The sequence below is a fragment of the Homo sapiens genome, chromosome 2 (assembly GCF_000001405.40).
Source record: "Homo sapiens chromosome 2, GRCh38.p14 Primary Assembly".
Lineage (NCBI taxonomy): Eukaryota > Metazoa > Chordata > Mammalia > Primates > Hominidae > Homo > Homo sapiens.
The window spans coordinates 62,192,609-62,207,903 of record NC_000002.12 but is presented as its reverse complement, the minus strand read 5'-3'; the positions used below and the strand labels follow the sequence as shown (position 1 = coordinate 62,207,903).

Sequence of the window (15,295 nt, the reverse complement as noted above, 5' to 3'; positions counted from 1 at the left end):
AATCAAATTCAATCCATTATTTTCCCAGGCAAGAATAATCTATGGCAGGGGTCCCCAAACCCCAGGCCATGGACCCCTAGCGGTCCATGGTCTGTTAGGAACGGGGCCACACAGCTGGTGGTGAGCAGTGGTGGGCAGGCCTGCAAGCATTACTGCCTGAGCTCTGCCTCCTGTCAGATCAGCTTGACATTAGATTCTCACAGGAGGGCGAACCCTTTGTGAACTGCGCATGCAAGGATCTAGGTTGCATGCTCCTTACGAGAATCTGACGCCTGATGATCTAGGGTGAGACAGTTTCATCCCGAAACCATCTCGCATATCCTCCCACCCTGGAGTCCGTGGAAAACTGTCTTTCACAAAACCAGTCCCCAGTGCTAAAAAGGCTGGGGACCACGGATGTACCTCACTTCCATCAGGTACTCTACAGACAAACTCTTTCAAAACAACCACTGCCTTTCCAATTCTATTAAATTATACTTGGCAATTCTTGTCCCTCAAGAACCGTAAGTCTAACCAAATGATGAAACCCCGTCTCTGCAAAAAATACAAAAATTAGCTGGGCATGGTGGCCTGTAGCATGTGTGTTGTCCCAACTACTCGTGAGGCTGAGACAGAAGAATCGCTTGAACCCAGGAAGCAGAGGTTGCGGTGTACCCAGATCGTGCCACGGCACTCCAACCTGAGCGACAGAGTGAGACCCTGTCTTAAAAAAAAAAACAAAACTGTAGAGTTTGAGAGCATCCCCAACATTTCCCTGCAAGATAAACGTTTACATTTGTCTTCCTTCCAAAATAAAAATGTAACCTCAAAATCAAAAAAGCATTGAACATGCTGCAACTTGAGATTACATATAGCATATTAAAAATAACCTTCTGTAACTTCAATAAGTGTTCACAATTATACAAATGACATTGTATTTTAAGTAATTTAATAAATTGCTTTGGGAAGTCTCAATTTCTTGGTAGTTAGGATGAAGGTTTCCAGTGACACATTTTCTTAAAAGAGAATATGCTCTTGGTTACAGCGAAGGGGACACCAGAAAGTGAGGTACTACAACCTCAGACTGCAGGACTCCTTGGCTTATCCATTTGGAGTCTTGTAGGGTAGCAGCTTGGAGAGAACTGCCTGACTCGCTCTTCCAAAAGCAGGCACAAAGAGTGCAGAAAGTTCTGCAGAGTAGACATGTGTAGAGATTTTTAAATAATGTTGTACTAGGCCAGGCACAGTGGCTTACACCTGTAATCCCAGTGCTTTGGGAGGTGGAAGTGAGAGGATCACTCGAGGCCAGCCTGGGCAACAGAGAGAGATCCTGTCTCTACAAGAATAAAAAACATATAAAAATAATGTTGGATTAAAGTGCATGGTCTAACACTTTGGGGAAGGGAAAAAAAATAGAGAAATGAGATAAAGGTATCAAGGACACTCCTTATAATAAAACAAATTAACCACTGCACACCTAGTGCCCACCCATTAGCTGAGTGAGGGCTTGTCCATATGCCATGGGCGCAATTGGATACACAGTCAAGTGGTGACTGAGGTGTCTTCATTTCACAGAGAAGTAAACTGGTTCACAGGATCAGAAAGTTGTCTGATGTTCCCAGAAAAAGTAGAGGGAGAGGGCAGGAACTGAGAACCCAGATGGGCCGCCCCCAGCCCAGAGCTGCATGGAGGGAAATGGGCATCCCCATCCTCGCTGAGCACGTCCAAGCTGATCCTTGATCCAGGCAGGCCACCCCTAAAACCCCATCCCGGAGGCCTCTAGACACCAGCACCCCTTAACAACAACTACTATCCTCCCCACCCATACCTCTTCTCAGCCTGGTTTCTCCTGGCTTAAAACATCCCTTATCTTGCTTCTCTCCATCCTTACCCCCATCCTTGAAGGCCCAGGTTCAAATCCTGTCTCCTCTTCCATGAGGACAGCCTTGATTCCCCCAGTCCATCGATTTCATCCTCTTCTCCTGGCACTCAGGATCCCCCAAAAGGAGTACCAAGCCCTCACCACCTGGAATCCACTCTCCTGGCTACCATGCTTCCCAGGAGAAATGGTTCCAGGTGAGCCAGGAGGCTGGAACTAAGCAGCCTGTCCCTCAGGTGGCAAATGACAGCCAAGGGCTGGCAGGCCCCGCCCACGGCACACAGCCACTAAATGCCAGCGCTCCTCCTCTCACACTGAGCATCCAGTTAAATTGGGCTCCCTCTGGGATGCTGCCTCTTCTCCACAGTCAGACATCATCCTCCTCCCAGAGGAAAACACTTCTAGTGATGTGTGACCCTGGGTGGCAACTTCAGAGCAAGGCGGCAAAGAAGCAAACCAGCTCCCTGCTCCATCTCGGATTCCTGTCCCGCCTCTTCTCCCTTTCTCAAAGGCTGGTTAAATCCTAACACCTTACTGACAAGTGTTTCAGGACTGTTGTTTTCAAGTTGTTGCTTTTTAAGTATCAAAATAAACCATATACATTTTAAAATACGTATCCTCAAAAAAAAGTAACACTTTGGCCTTTTATCCAAATGTTCTATAAAAGGGGAGGCATCATTCAGGCCTTCGACCAAGACTTGCTTCCGTATTTAAAGAAGTGCAATAGTAACATAGCTTTCTCCGGCCACCCGCCAAGAAAAGTTTTTGTCGCCACAGTAAAAAGAGAACATGTTTGCTCAATATGTGGGCACTATTGAACTGCTTAAAAACTGGGCCTCTTTTACCAAGCAATTTGAGTCACCTCAGTTTTAAACGAGTCTCTGCACGTTCCCTTCATATACCATAGGTGATCACATATGTGGAGGGACGAGGGACCACAGCAATCCCAGTGCCACGGGCTTCCAATCTCGCCGGTCTGCCTGTCACTCTCCCTGGGGGCGTCCAATCTTCTCCCCCAGCCTCCGCTATCTCTAAATTGATGGCTGCCCACTCTGTGGTCCATTGTGACCTTCTTCTCTCTCCCTCTCTAGATGGTGCCCATGGGCCCCTAGTCGTGAGTGGGGTAGAGATGAAAATAAAGAATCATCACCCTGAAGCCGCTGGTGGCTACCTGAAGCTTCATGATACCATTCTCTGTATCTGCACTTGTTTGAAAATTTCCATTATAAAGAGTTAAAAAAAGACGATCCATCAGAACTTTGAAGAATAAAAGTTTTTTAAAAAAGAGAAACATTCAGTTAAAAATAGGAGTATTCATGAGAGATATTTTAAGTTCATTTGAAGGAAATAATTCCTTATGTGGTAAAGGAAAAGAACAAAAATATAATGGCTGCATCTCAAGAATAAAGTTACATAAAAGTTCCTTATAAACAAGCTTCAAAGACAACCATAAAATAATAAAGGTAAAAATATATCTCACTAGTTCCAAATGTTGACTATTTAGAAAGGATAGCATTTGTAACACTTCGACCCTTTCATTATTAGACAAATATATTTGAATCTGAAAATATCATTCGGCTTCCCAGTGAACAATCTAGAGCCAGACCTGGAGGGTTAAAAACACACATGCACATAAAACTCACCACAATTGTGTTATTCCCTGATCAAGACTCAAAAAAGAAGTACTTTGGAGAACCAGTTGGATGTTAAGTGCTTCTCAAAGAAAATAAACAATTAGAAAAATTTCTACCAGGCACTTTGGGAGGCCAAGGCAGGTGGATCACCTAAGGTTGGGAGTTCGAGACCAGCCTGACCAGCACGGAGAAACCCTGTCTCTACTAGAAATACAAAATTAGCCAGGCATGGTGGTGCATGCCTGTAATCCCAGCTACTCAGGAGACTGAGGCAGGAGAATTGCTTGAACCCAGGAGAAAGAGGTTGCAGTGAGCCAAGGTCATGCCATTGCGCTCCGGCCTGGGCAACAAGAGGGAAATTCTGTCTCAAAAAAAATTCTGAAGCACAAATAAACTGCAGCAAGTTTATGGTCCATAGAAATATCTTCCCAGAGCATTAACACTTTCATATTCATGAGTTCAATGGATTCCAATAATAAACATGTGAAATTGGCTGTGCAGGTTTCATGCGATTCTGCAGGGAGGTGGGAAACAGGAGCTAAGTGGGTTGCCATAGCTACAAAGACATTTGATGTCAGCTCTGGGACCAAAACCTACTTCAAGTTCTCTACATCAGCCAGTCCCTGACCCCCAACTCCCAGGATCTCCACTCCCTGTGACAGCTCTTGCTGCTTCTGGGGTCTTGCACCAATAGCAATCTCCACTGTTTCCCCCATCTTCAGCCTCTCCCTCTCCAAAGGCACCAGGCACATGCTCCTTGTCATGCCCATTTGTCCTGCCTTGACCCTCCCAATCCCCCTCACCTTCTAGAATCTTCGCAGTCCTTGCACCCTCCTGACTTTCTAGGGCACCCAATACTGCTGGCCACCATGTCTACCCCACCCCAAGCTCAGGAACCCCCAGGGTTCTCTTGCATGTTGGCAGCCTTTGCTCCTTGGCCCCATCCCACAAAATGGACTTGCTCCACAGTTCTGGGCCCAAGTCTATTGCTGGGTCTTCCCTTACCCCCTATTCTTGTCCCCTAGACATCACTACAGACTCCCATATCCCGTATGCTAAAAAATGCCCCAATATACCTGTGTCATGGCCCTTCTCCTAACCTCCCTTAGTTGGTTTCCAAATTCCTTTACACCCACCAGGAGTCTTTCTCTCACCCACCTCTTCCAAACAACACACATACATATTTCAATCTTGTACTATCCCTGCCCTGGTTTGAGCCCTCAGTTTCCCCTCTACTAAGACTAACTTTAATGAAGTGGCCTAACTCAACAAATGTCAAACGCCTACTTAAACCAAGCAGTGTTGAAAACAGGCAGCAAAGAACCAAGTCAGAGTTGATTGCTGTAAGGTTGATAAACACTTAGATGAAATATGAAGCACTGCACAGGGGATAAGGAAAGGCTGCTTTATGCCGGGTGATCAGAGAAAACCTCCTCTCAGAGAAGAGGTGAGGATAGTTCCAGGCAGGGGGAGCAGTCACCACAAAGGCCAGAGGCAGGAAAGCTGGGGGCCTTGTGCCTGGAGTGAAATGAGGGGGAGAAGGGAGGTAGGAGGAGGAGGGCAGATCACCAGTCCTGGTAGGTGACATTTGAACTCTGGCTTTCCTCTGAAGAAGACAGGGATTCTGACTGGAGGATTCTGAGTAGAAAAGTAACCTCAAGTCATTTCAGTTTTTAAAGGATCCCTCCAGCTTCTTTCTGAGAGAAACTGGTAGGGGGCAAATGGGAAGCAGAGAACGCAGGGACTGCAATGACCTGCCCGGGGTCAGGCTCGCCTCATTCACGCTCAGGCCCATCTTCCTCAATGCAAGCCTGGCCATAACTTGTCAGCACCCACACCCTCTCTCTCTCTCCCCTGACCACAAGAACTTTCACTGGTTCCTCACTACCTCCATAACTATTAACTGCCACATCTCTGCATGATCCCCGAGATTGCATCATGGCCTATTACACCTTTCTAAGCACCATGCACTCCAAACCCAATGGATCACCTGCTGTTTCCCCAAAAGACCTCTATGAGCCTTTCTGTTGTGTCCTGTTTTCTCAGCCTACAATCCCTTGAGCACTTCTACCTTCCTTTCTCTGCCTCTGAAATGTTATTCACATCCTTCAAGACCAAGCCCAAAGGCCACTTCCTTAAGAAGCCTTTCTTGGCTGCCTCCAACACATAATTGGCTTACACCTCTACCAAGGCAATCTTACCAGTTCCTGGCTGTCTCCACCACACTGCCCACTGAAGGCAGCAATCACGCACAGCCAAGCACAGTGCTAGGCACACACCAAGTGCTCAATCAATGCGTGTTTGGTCGGAGAACAAACTGCTCACTTCACCAAACATCTTGAGGTCTTAATGGAGAAGTATTCCAGGGCAGGTTTTCCGTGTTGGCTACTGTAATCTGGAGACCAGGGGACCCTCTGATGGAGTCTCTGGGGACTGTCTGCTCAGCACTAACAAAGGTACAAGTAGGGACCACAGTGTGGACAGATTTGAACTTAGGCCTACGAAGACTCTTGCCTTCTCTGCTAGACATCTCTAAGCAGGCCCATATTTTGTTTTAAATTTCCATAAAGTATTGGAAGTATGTTTTTCCTAAGGTCATTCTAGAAGTGTACAAAAGAAGAAATGAGCACTTAGAAGGACCCACATCAAGTTAATGTAGTTATAGTGGTGAGAGAGGGTGGAATTAGTTTTATTTTCCTTTACTTTATCTTGAATACTTTTTCTAAATAAACATTTAATGAAAGTCATTTAGAAAGAATGCCAAGTACTACCCAAGTTACATTTGCAGAATGAGTCCAAAAATGAAAAGTACCAAACAAATAAGGAGACATGAGGCCATGGAATTATGTAATACCGCTTACACGGTAAGATTACAAGAGCTGAAAATGTTTTAAGTGGCTTGTCTGAAGCAAGCAATTAAAATAATTGGTCCTGTGCTTTCACCTCTGAAATAATTATTTCACTAAACATAAAGCAGATGTTGTGAGCATCTTGGGCACTTATTGATGACTCTTACCCAAACTAAACTCTTCCACAAGCTCCATAATTGACCATAAACCAGTTCTCATCACTGCATCCTAGCTCATGTTACACAGGTGGCCAAACAACTCTGAATGGGACATTTCAATGACTGTCTTTAGAGAGGAAATGTCAAAAACAGGCAACTAACAAATAATACATCTTAAAGCTAAAGCTATATCAACAAAGTATTAAATAAAGATTTGTCTTCTAATTTTCAATAAAAGACCTACAGAACTTTTAATGAAATAGCTCATTTAAACACAAAAGATCTAGTTGCTTTAGTTATCACCCTGTTAAAGAAATAAAAAGGGGAAGAGGAAACTGCAGTCAGGCACAGTGCTAGGTATTCTAGGTGTAGCTTTATATTACTTTCCCCAGTAAATCTAACATAGGGCTTTATCTTCCCCATTTTACAAGTGAGAAAATTTATCCTGAAATAGTTCGTGTAATTTTAACTTTAGGCATTCCCATACGTAACTGAGACTCAGATTAAATAACTTGTCCGTAGTCACACAATAAGTGGTAAAAATAGAATTCAAGCCTATTTCACAAAAGACTACATGCCACACTGTATGACTGATTCCACTTACATGAAGTTCAACAGGTAAAACCCATCTATGATGACAGAAGTCACATCTATGATGATGTAAGAAAGAATAACAGTTCCTTCAGGGTGAGGGGGTGGGAACACGGACAAGACATGGGCGCAGGAACCTTCTGCAGTACTGAAAATGTTTATTTCTTAATCTGAGAGCTTACATACATGAGCTCATGCTTAATATTAACACTTCTCACACTTTACTGCATGTTATACATGAAGTTAAAAAAATCCTCATCTTATGGACTCCAAGTTTATGCTCTTAACCACTAAACCACCACATGGCACTCGGACAGAATCTAGCCACATGCCAGAATTGATTACCTTGGATTATCATTTTTTTCAAACATTCTGGTAAGCTACGTACATCCTACTCATATCAGAATGAAGACACCTGAACCCTCTGTTTTAAAATGCCACAGAATGAAAAGTAGAAAGTATCAATTTCCTGGCTACTGGGAATTTCCCCCTCTGTAGCCACATCAGAAAATGGTTTTTGTTTTTTTTAAGTTATAGATGCACAGAAAATAATGTGTAACATTCTTAAAGTTATATATGAAAATACCTAAAGCTAAAATTGCACAAGATACATGTTATGACTCTCAAAAGACATCTGAATTTTTGTTACAAAAATTAAGACAAGGCAAAAAGACAAAGCTGGTGGGCAGAGGTTGTTAATACTCACAGGGCAACACACAGAGGGCAAAAATCTCAACTCTTAAAATTTGTAACAAATAGAAAACTCAGTACAAATAACTTTTTCCAGCAGCAAAGTAATTGTGCCACATAAGCCCTAATAATAAATTCTCCATCAAGTAACAGGTTCCAGCCTGGCAAAGTCTCCTTACCAGTGAGTGATGATGAAATCATTACATCAATTCTCCCAAAACCTTACCCCACACATACATACACCTCTTATTCAAACAGTAATTGCCTCTCCAGAGAGAGGAATGTATTCATTCTGTAATTTGCAGACATATTTGGCAAGTACGTAGGAACAGCAATCCCACCTTAGAGAGTGGAGAAAAAGACAGCTGGGTCCACACCTTTTGGGTGTTTGTGCTGTTTTCTTTACTGGATGCAGCCAGGAAACATTTACCACTTCAGAGTCTAGTTTAATTCATGTTTTAACCTTCTGTACACACCAAAAATACCAAGCAACCAAATGACTTTAGTTTCCCCTGGGCACTTACATAAGAGACCAAAAGGCCTTTATGAGAATCTTTCAGTATTGGTGATGTATGTACCACCATCAGGGATGTTGCAATAGATTACACATCACCAAGTATTATCCTAGTTGCAAGATCTCAAGGTCTCAATGTTTATAAAAGTAACCATAGGCAGTTATTAATTTTTAAAGTCTCTAACAGACTTTCCAATAAAACCATCAAAAAAATACAGAAAAATACAGTCAAATACTACATCCATTAACCAAGTCAGAAAGAATGAAAAGCACTGACCCAGTATGTCAAGAGTATTAACAGCTGTGGATCAGCATCCCTAAATTAGGATTTTCATGAAACCCTAGCATTGCTAGAAAACATTTAAAGCTAAGGCCAGGCGCGGTGGCTTACGTCTGTAATCCCAGCACTTTGGGAGGCCTAGGCGGGTGGATCACCAGGTCAGGAGTTCGAGACCAGCCTGGCCAACACAGTGAAACCCTGTCTCTACTAAAGACACAAAAATTAGCCAGGCGTGGTGGTGGATGCCTGTAATCCCAGCTACTGGGGAGGCTGAGGCAGGAGAATCACTTGAATCCAAGAGGCAGCGGTTGCAGTGAGCTGAGATTGCACCACTGCACTCCAGCCTGGGCGGGAGAGTGAGACTCCATTTCAAAAAAAAAAGAAAAAAACATTTAAAGCTAAGTTTCAAAGTTTGAGAAACAGAAGATTCACCTTTTCTTTTATCCCTGCATCAGCTGAAAAAGCCCTGCATATTTCTCTTCAGAACATACCAACGATGCCTCACTAATGCAACTATTTTTTTTAAAAAAAACCACATATCTGAACAGTATAGTCAAAATCAACTATGAATTATCAGTTCTACTTTCCTATTTTTAGCACAACTTTAGTTTATCAGAAACCTAAAACATGACTTTTCTTTAAAACAAGAAAATTTTCAAAACTACAAACCTTCATATATTCAGCCCTTCACCAGAAGCCCAGAAAAAAATTCATAATTTTTGAACAACAAGCAAATCATGCTTATTTTCCTCAAAATACTACTTAGGTTTTAAGAACCTTCTGATGTGCATCTGCCAAATGTGGCTGATTTCAGTCTCAGACAGGGAAATCTAAAAGGCTACCACAGGGTTACTGTTTTTGGTAAGGGGAAGTCGATGCCAGGAGGAACTTCTCTATTGATTACAGCAATGACCACCATTTATTAAGCACTTCTTAGCTCTCCTGGTGCAGTGCTAGGAGTTTGGCAAACATCCTATTTGTCCTCAGAAATAATCTTGCAGAGCAAACACCACCATCCCCAAAACCAGATGTGTAAAATGAGGCTCAGGTGAAGAATAACTTGCCCAAGATCACTGAATTAAATGTGGCAGAATCAAGTCTAATGAATGGCAAGGGTGAGAACTGGTCAGTTTCACAGAGAATTAGGCCTTCATCATACAAATGCCGCCTGCACAAAAACTAAATGAGAAACAGTGAACCCTTGCTGTAGGGAGAAAAAGCAATATTCCGAACTAAAAAAGTAGTTTCAAACAGAAGATCTAATGATAAACACATTTGTAAAGTCTGAGCAGGGAGGAAAAGGATTACTCAAATTACTCAAGTACAGCCCTATGGGGCTCCTTCACTTCTGTGTTCTTAAAATCTAATCTGGTTTAAGAGCGCATGGGCTCCGAGTAAAACTCTCCCAAATTCCTCCAGGCTTAACCACCCTCTACTCAAAAGAACCAGGAGCAGGAGTTAGGACAATGGGAAGTGACCGCCCTGCCCTGCCCTGCCGGTCCTCCCTCCGGGTCAGCTGTCAGATCCGCATGGGTGCGACTATAAGCCGGCACCGGAGCCCCGGGACTGGCTCGGCCAGGGTCCCCGCCTTTTCACTCCCAGTCCCGGCCCTGTCGGCCACCTCGTTTACCACCTCCAGAGGCACAAATAATTATACCGGAAGAATTTGTTTTAACAAGTAGAATTCTATATTCACCAACTGGCTTCGCTATCGGATATTACGGTAGGGTTCCAACAAGAGAAGGGCAAAAGAATATAGTTTAATTGTTCTAAACAATCTTTCTGAGAAGTTGGGGTGGCTGAGGCGGCCACGGGGATACAGCTCAGGCACCTGTGAGCTAAGCCCACTCTACAAACTAACCACCCCTACGTTTTGGGCAGAAGAGCGCCGCCTCGCCAACCCAGGTTATAAATGTACATATTTTTAAAGATGAGCTTTGACGCTGTGACACTTGTGGGGAGTCTCCCGACGGCTCCTCTACTTGATGGGGGTACAGGGAGTTCTGCGGCTCCCCAGCCCCGAGTTTCAAATACCGTGGCCTGGAAATTAACCGGGTGACTCGGTTTATTGCCTCCAGAAGGGTCCGCCTGCCGTGCTGGAGTAGCCGCCAGTCCCGCGCCCGCAGCCCCGGCAGGGCCCCCCACGCCCACCTTCCCACGAGGGGTGTCTCGTAGAGTCCGGCTTCAGGCGCTCCCTGGCCTGGCAGCACCCACCCCACCCCGCCCCACCCCACCCCCACGACTCGGGCTAGCAGCCTGGTTAATCATTCAACGCAAACAGTGTGGAATATTTTTTTTAAAAGGTCAAAGCGAAAGGTTTTCCCTAAGTTTGGCAGAAACCAGTTTTGGGGGAGCCGGAGACAGAAGTGGCAGAGGTTGGGGGTGGGGGGTGGGGAGCGGCTGCCGGCGGCTCTTTGGCTCACAAAACACCTGATCTCCCCATGCGGCACGGGAGGCCGGCGCAGTGCGAGGGTGGGGTGCGGGGGTGCGAGCGAGGAATCACGCGCGCCCCCCTCCCCGAAATGCCCGCGCGCCCCGGATGAGGAGGCCCGGCCCCAGATGCCCCTTGCCAAAGCCCGCATCGCCCCGGCGCCGGATCCCCCGGAAGTTGGGGTGCAGCGAGGAGGGGGAAGGTCCCCGGGCTCCAGGGCGAGGTGGGCACGGAATGGGTTGGGAGGTTCCAAAGCCCCGCAGCGGGCGGTGTCCCTCTCCTCTCCCTCTGGGCTGAGGTTGGGTGGCTGGGACGGCGGGAAGGTAAGGGAGGCTTAAATGCGGCAGGAGCCACCTAGGGACGGCTTCCTCCACCGGGGCGCGGGTACGAAGCCGGAACCGGCGAGGAACCGGGCGGGGGTAGCAGGGTGTCCGGAAGGTGGGGCCGGGAAGCAGGGAGGCGGAAGGGGACTGGTAGAGGGGCCTGGCGGTGAGAGGGCAGCGGGGAGGGAGCCGGCGGGGGTGCTCGGCGCCCGGGCCCTACCTTGTCCGGGAGCAGCTCCAGCTCGGCGGGGCGGGGGCAAGGGCGGGAGATCGCGGCCACATCCACGTCCCGGCCGCTCCGCGCGGCTCAGCCCGGCGACCGCCGCAGCTCACGCTCCATGCGCGGCGCCCCGGACGGGCGGCCCGGCGGTGTCGGCGGCAGGGACTGCTCCGGCTTGGCTCTGCTAGCCTCCGGCACTTGTTGCCGCTGCTGCCGCTGCCGCTGCGCCTCACTCCAGGCTCCGGTTCCAGGCGCAGCAGCCGCCGCGGGCGCCCGGCCCCGCCCCTCCCCTGCCCGCCCGCCAATGGGGCCCGGCCCCGCCCCTCACGTCACCGCCCGACGGCCCCGCCCCGCGCCCCAAGTTTTGGGAGGGTTCCGCTCTCCCCACCCGGTACCAGGACCCACCCGGGCCCGCGCTCCCTGCGGCTTCCAGGGACCCTCCAGCCCCCACGCACCCTCCTGCAAAGCCGAGGGTTAAGCTGGGGAAAGGGGGCCTCTAGGAAGGCGACCCCCCTGGAAATGCCTGGCAGCTCCAAAAACACTAATGAAACTCAGCTCCAGCCTCCGCCCCTCCAGTTGTGGGTGGCCCCTCTTGCGGTTCGTCTGAGGCTAGGGGACTAGGCGCATCGCCTAGCGAGACTCCAGTGGCCTTTTCTGTCCAGTTTGTAACCGGAACTAGACCGACCCCGGCCGCCCCCTCCAGTGCTGGGGCGGGTGAGGAATGGCCCCGCCGGGGAGGCGGGGGAGGGAGGCCTGGGCCACCCTGGGGTCTGACCTTTGCTCCACCTCTTAGGTGCTCACGACCCAGAGTGGTGCCCTGCTTGGTACTGCCACTGGATCCTCTGGCTTATGAAGCCGTCCAGGACAGGAAGGGTGGGGGGTGGTCCTTAGTTCTCTTCGTGGGGTCATGCAGAGTGGTTTCCTCGAGGTCCCACGCCCGTCTCAGGAAGCCAGAAACGCAAGATGCCGGGCGCTCGGCCCGAACCCGTGCCGCGGCCCAAGGGGCAAGGCGGATACCGAGGCAAGGCCTAAAGGGCCGGACTCTGACCGCACCCTCCGGACACTGCAGGGCTCCGCCGGCCAGAGGCGGCCTTGGCGCCAACCACACCTAGCAGCGGGGTCCCCGGGCCCACCGATGCGCCCTCCTAGCCCCGCGCTCCTTCGAGGGGTTCCAAGGTGACTCAGAGACGCAGCTGACACAATTCTGAGGCCCCCAGGTAAGCCTGGCGATACCGGATGGAGAAGTTACCTGGTCTTGAAAGGCCCAGTCCAGCCAGCGAGACCCGCGTGCGCTCCGCGGGGAGGCAAGCCTAACCAGGGGCTCACCTGGAAGCGTCCCCGCCCCCTGGTCCTTATCTCTGAATCGAAACCGAACCTGGACCCATCTAGATAATTGGACTGAGCAATTAAGGACGCTTCGCTCCTAACTGTTAGCATTTTTTCCTAAGGCTCTCGGAGGCGGAATCAGCTGGAAAGGAACATTGCTAAGTAGGAATTTCAGGCACCTGTGAACTGAGCCCACTCAATAATCGGCCCTTTCCCTTAACCAAACTCAGCAAAGGAAGAAAGACCAAGTTGCTGCGGATGCACAGAGCCACGTGGGTGCGGGTCCTCTAGAAACAGGAATTCAGAGTCAGTAGATATGGAAATGTTATGGTTTGCAGTCTTCGGACCATGCTGCTTTCATGCTGTTCACATGATTCTCCTCGGACTGCGAGGTAAAGTCCAAGAAACAAGTCGAATGTTTGTATTTTCATAGAAAAAACATCTGTAAGGGTGCACACCGACTGTTAACCACGGTTACGCGGGGAGGGGAAACAAGGGAGTTACATTTTTTTACTCCCTTGACTTTGGATTTTGTATTTTTCCAGTTGTATTTACTTTCATAATTTAGAAAGCTAATAAAACATGTTTAAAGAAACAGAAGCTAGAAATTCTCTAAGAACTCTAGGAAGTAGAGGCCGGGCGCGGTGGCTCACGCCTGTAATCCCAGCACTTTGGGAGGCCGAGGCGGGTGGATCACAAGGTCAGGAGTTCGAGACCTGTCTGGCCAACATGGTGAAACCCTGTTTCTACTAAAAATACAAAAATTAATGGTGACATGTACCTGTAATCCCAGCCACTTGGGAGGCTGAGGCAGGACAATCGCCGAACTCAGGGAGGCGGAGGTTGCAGTAAGCCGAAATCGTGCCACTGTACTCCAGCCTGGGTGACAGAGTGAGACTCTGTCTCAAAAAAAAAAAAAGAACTCTAGGGAGTATAAATTAATAAATGAAGTCTATGTCTTCATTCTGTATCAAAATAATATTGAGTCCATGTTCCTGGGTTTAAATAAAGATATCTCTAGGCTGCTGTCTGATATTTAAATGCAGTGTTGAGACAAAGCGGACATCTAAGGAAGATTTTCTGTGCCATCAGATTGGTATATTGTTTCCATGCATATGTGTCTTCCCTTTAAATGCACTCCCTGTAGCCACAGACATGCTTGCAAGAACGGCCAGCCAAGGAGTTTATAGTAAAGGAGCTGCTACAATGTCAGCTGGCAACCAACTAGGAAATTAAGCTTGTGTCCCTCGCTGCCCAAGGCTGCCCAGGCCATGAAATTTAAAAATAAGGGTATTCTTAGGCCAGGCACGGTGGCTCATGCCTGTAATCCCAGTACCTTGGGAGGCCAAGGTGGGCGGATCACTTGAGGTCAGGAGTTCAAGACCACCCTGGCCAACATGGTAAAACCCCGTCTCTACAAAAAATACAAAAAAATTAGCCAGGTGTGGTGGTGGACACCTGTAGTCCCAGCTACTTGGCAGGCTGAGGCAGGAGAATTGCTTGAACTCGGGAGGTGGAGGTTGCACTGAGCCGAGATCGTGCCACTGCACTCCAGCCTGGGCGACAGAGCAAGACTCCGTCTCAAATAAATAAGGGCATTTTCTCCATGGTGGCTTTAACACAGTTGGGAGTATATCTACAATAGTTACCTTGTGTCTTTTGGGGAGTAACTCAATGCTAGATTCCACATCGCTTGGCTATAGTCCCTACTGTTAGGTTGGGACCCAGGTCCATCATCAGTAGGCAGAGATGTGTTATTCACTTATTCAACAAAAATGTACTGGCCATCCTCTAGATGCAGCACAGGACTAGGCGCTGGAGTGGTGAACATGGCAAACACACTCCCTGCTTGGAGCTCACAGTCTAGCTGGAGAGAGGGGCTTAACAATTAAATGCACTATTAATTAATTACAATTGTGATATGGGCCACAGGGAGTGCAAGGTGGTGAGATCATCTGGGGAGTCCATGAGGAGTTCCTGGCTGGTTCAGACTATAAAGGAAGAAGTGGTTGAGGAGGAAGTTAGAGAGGCAGGCAGGGGTTAGATCACGCAGGGCCAGTACACCACATTACAGAGTTTGGACTTTATCCTGAGACATTTGAAACAAGAGTCATACACTCAATTTTGCATTTTGAAGTAGATCACTCTGACTGCAGTGTGAAGAAGGAATAGGGAAAGGGGAAGAATGGAATGGAGGGACAGTTAGGAGGCTGTTGCTATAATGTGAGAGGGGCCATTTGTTTAAGCAGTAGAGCAAATGTAGAGAGGTAGACACCAACGAGACTTGGTAATTGCTTAGGGGGGATGAATCAAGGAAAACTCCCAGATCTCTGCTTCTTTAACCAGATGGATGGTGGTGCCATTTTCTGAGTTGGAGAACCCTCTCAAGGTTCAAATTTGGTCAAAGTAGGTTTGAGGTGC

At 47.9% G+C, this 15,295-nt stretch overlaps 1 protein-coding gene, 1 long non-coding RNA gene and 1 other non-coding gene across 3 annotated transcripts in view, besides 9 other annotated features; 1 reads left to right on the top strand and 2 right to left on the bottom strand.

The window, feature by feature from the left end:
- B3GNT2 (UDP-GlcNAc:betaGal beta-1,3-N-acetylglucosaminyltransferase 2) overlaps positions 1–11,789 on the bottom strand; it is a 28,617-nt gene extending 16,828 nt beyond the window's left edge. Inside the window, exon 1 of the mRNA NM_006577.6 lies at positions 11,549–11,789. The gene's annotated coding sequence lies outside the window, so the exon portion shown is untranslated. The remainder of the gene's footprint in view (positions 1–11,548) is intronic.
- On the bottom strand, positions 1,987–2,078 carry MIR5192 (microRNA 5192). Its single transcript, NR_049824.1, has one exon. It is a non-coding gene; the product is annotated as a microRNA 5192 (primary transcript).
- Positions 4,788–5,288: an enhancer, noted in NCBI's record as "NANOG-H3K27ac hESC enhancer chr2:62429751-62430251 (GRCh37/hg19 assembly coordinates)". NCBI's record gives its function as "activates a minimal SCP1, AML or CMV promoter by ChIP-STARR-seq in naive and primed H9 embryonic stem cells {active_cell/tissue: H9 hESC(naive and primed)}" and the evidence as "EXISTENCE:reporter gene assay evidence [ECO:0000049][PMID:30033119]".
- Positions 5,289–5,789: an enhancer, noted in NCBI's record as "NANOG-H3K27ac hESC enhancer chr2:62429250-62429750 (GRCh37/hg19 assembly coordinates)". NCBI's record gives its function as "activates a minimal SCP1, AML or CMV promoter by ChIP-STARR-seq in naive and primed H9 embryonic stem cells {active_cell/tissue: H9 hESC(naive and primed)}" and the evidence as "EXISTENCE:reporter gene assay evidence [ECO:0000049][PMID:30033119]".
- Positions 10,394–10,503: an enhancer, noted in NCBI's record as "active region_15850". NCBI's record gives its function as "activates an Ori minimal core promoter by ATAC-STARR-seq in GM12878 lymphoblastoid cells {active_cell/tissue: GM12878}" and the evidence as "EXISTENCE:reporter gene assay evidence [ECO:0000049][PMID:35858748]".
- Positions 10,914–11,263: a silencer, noted in NCBI's record as "silent region_11535". NCBI's record gives its function as "represses an Ori minimal core promoter by ATAC-STARR-seq in GM12878 lymphoblastoid cells {active_cell/tissue: GM12878}" and the evidence as "EXISTENCE:reporter gene assay evidence [ECO:0000049][PMID:35858748]".
- Positions 11,444–11,883: a silencer, noted in NCBI's record as "silent region_11534". NCBI's record gives its function as "represses an Ori minimal core promoter by ATAC-STARR-seq in GM12878 lymphoblastoid cells {active_cell/tissue: GM12878}" and the evidence as "EXISTENCE:reporter gene assay evidence [ECO:0000049][PMID:35858748]".
- Positions 11,444–12,090: a biological region, named in NCBI's record as "H3K27ac-H3K4me1 hESC enhancer GRCh37_chr2:62422949-62423555".
- Positions 11,484–12,090: an enhancer, noted in NCBI's record as "H3K27ac-H3K4me1 hESC enhancer chr2:62422949-62423555 (GRCh37/hg19 assembly coordinates)". NCBI's record gives its function as "activates a minimal SCP1, AML or CMV promoter by ChIP-STARR-seq in naive H9 embryonic stem cells {active_cell/tissue: H9 hESC(naive)}" and the evidence as "EXISTENCE:reporter gene assay evidence [ECO:0000049][PMID:30033119]".
- LOC124906013 (uncharacterized) lies at positions 11,891–13,915 on the top strand. Its single transcript, XR_007086336.1, has 2 exons — positions 11,891–12,765; positions 12,997–13,915. It is a non-coding gene; the product is annotated as an uncharacterized LOC124906013 (long non-coding RNA).
- Positions 12,174–12,403: a silencer, noted in NCBI's record as "silent region_11533". NCBI's record gives its function as "represses an Ori minimal core promoter by ATAC-STARR-seq in GM12878 lymphoblastoid cells {active_cell/tissue: GM12878}" and the evidence as "EXISTENCE:reporter gene assay evidence [ECO:0000049][PMID:35858748]".
- Positions 12,697–13,304: an enhancer, noted in NCBI's record as "H3K27ac-H3K4me1 hESC enhancer chr2:62421735-62422342 (GRCh37/hg19 assembly coordinates)". NCBI's record gives its function as "activates a minimal SCP1, AML or CMV promoter by ChIP-STARR-seq in primed H9 embryonic stem cells {active_cell/tissue: H9 hESC(primed)}" and the evidence as "EXISTENCE:reporter gene assay evidence [ECO:0000049][PMID:30033119]".
- Positions 13,916–15,295: the final 1,380 nt, after the last annotated feature.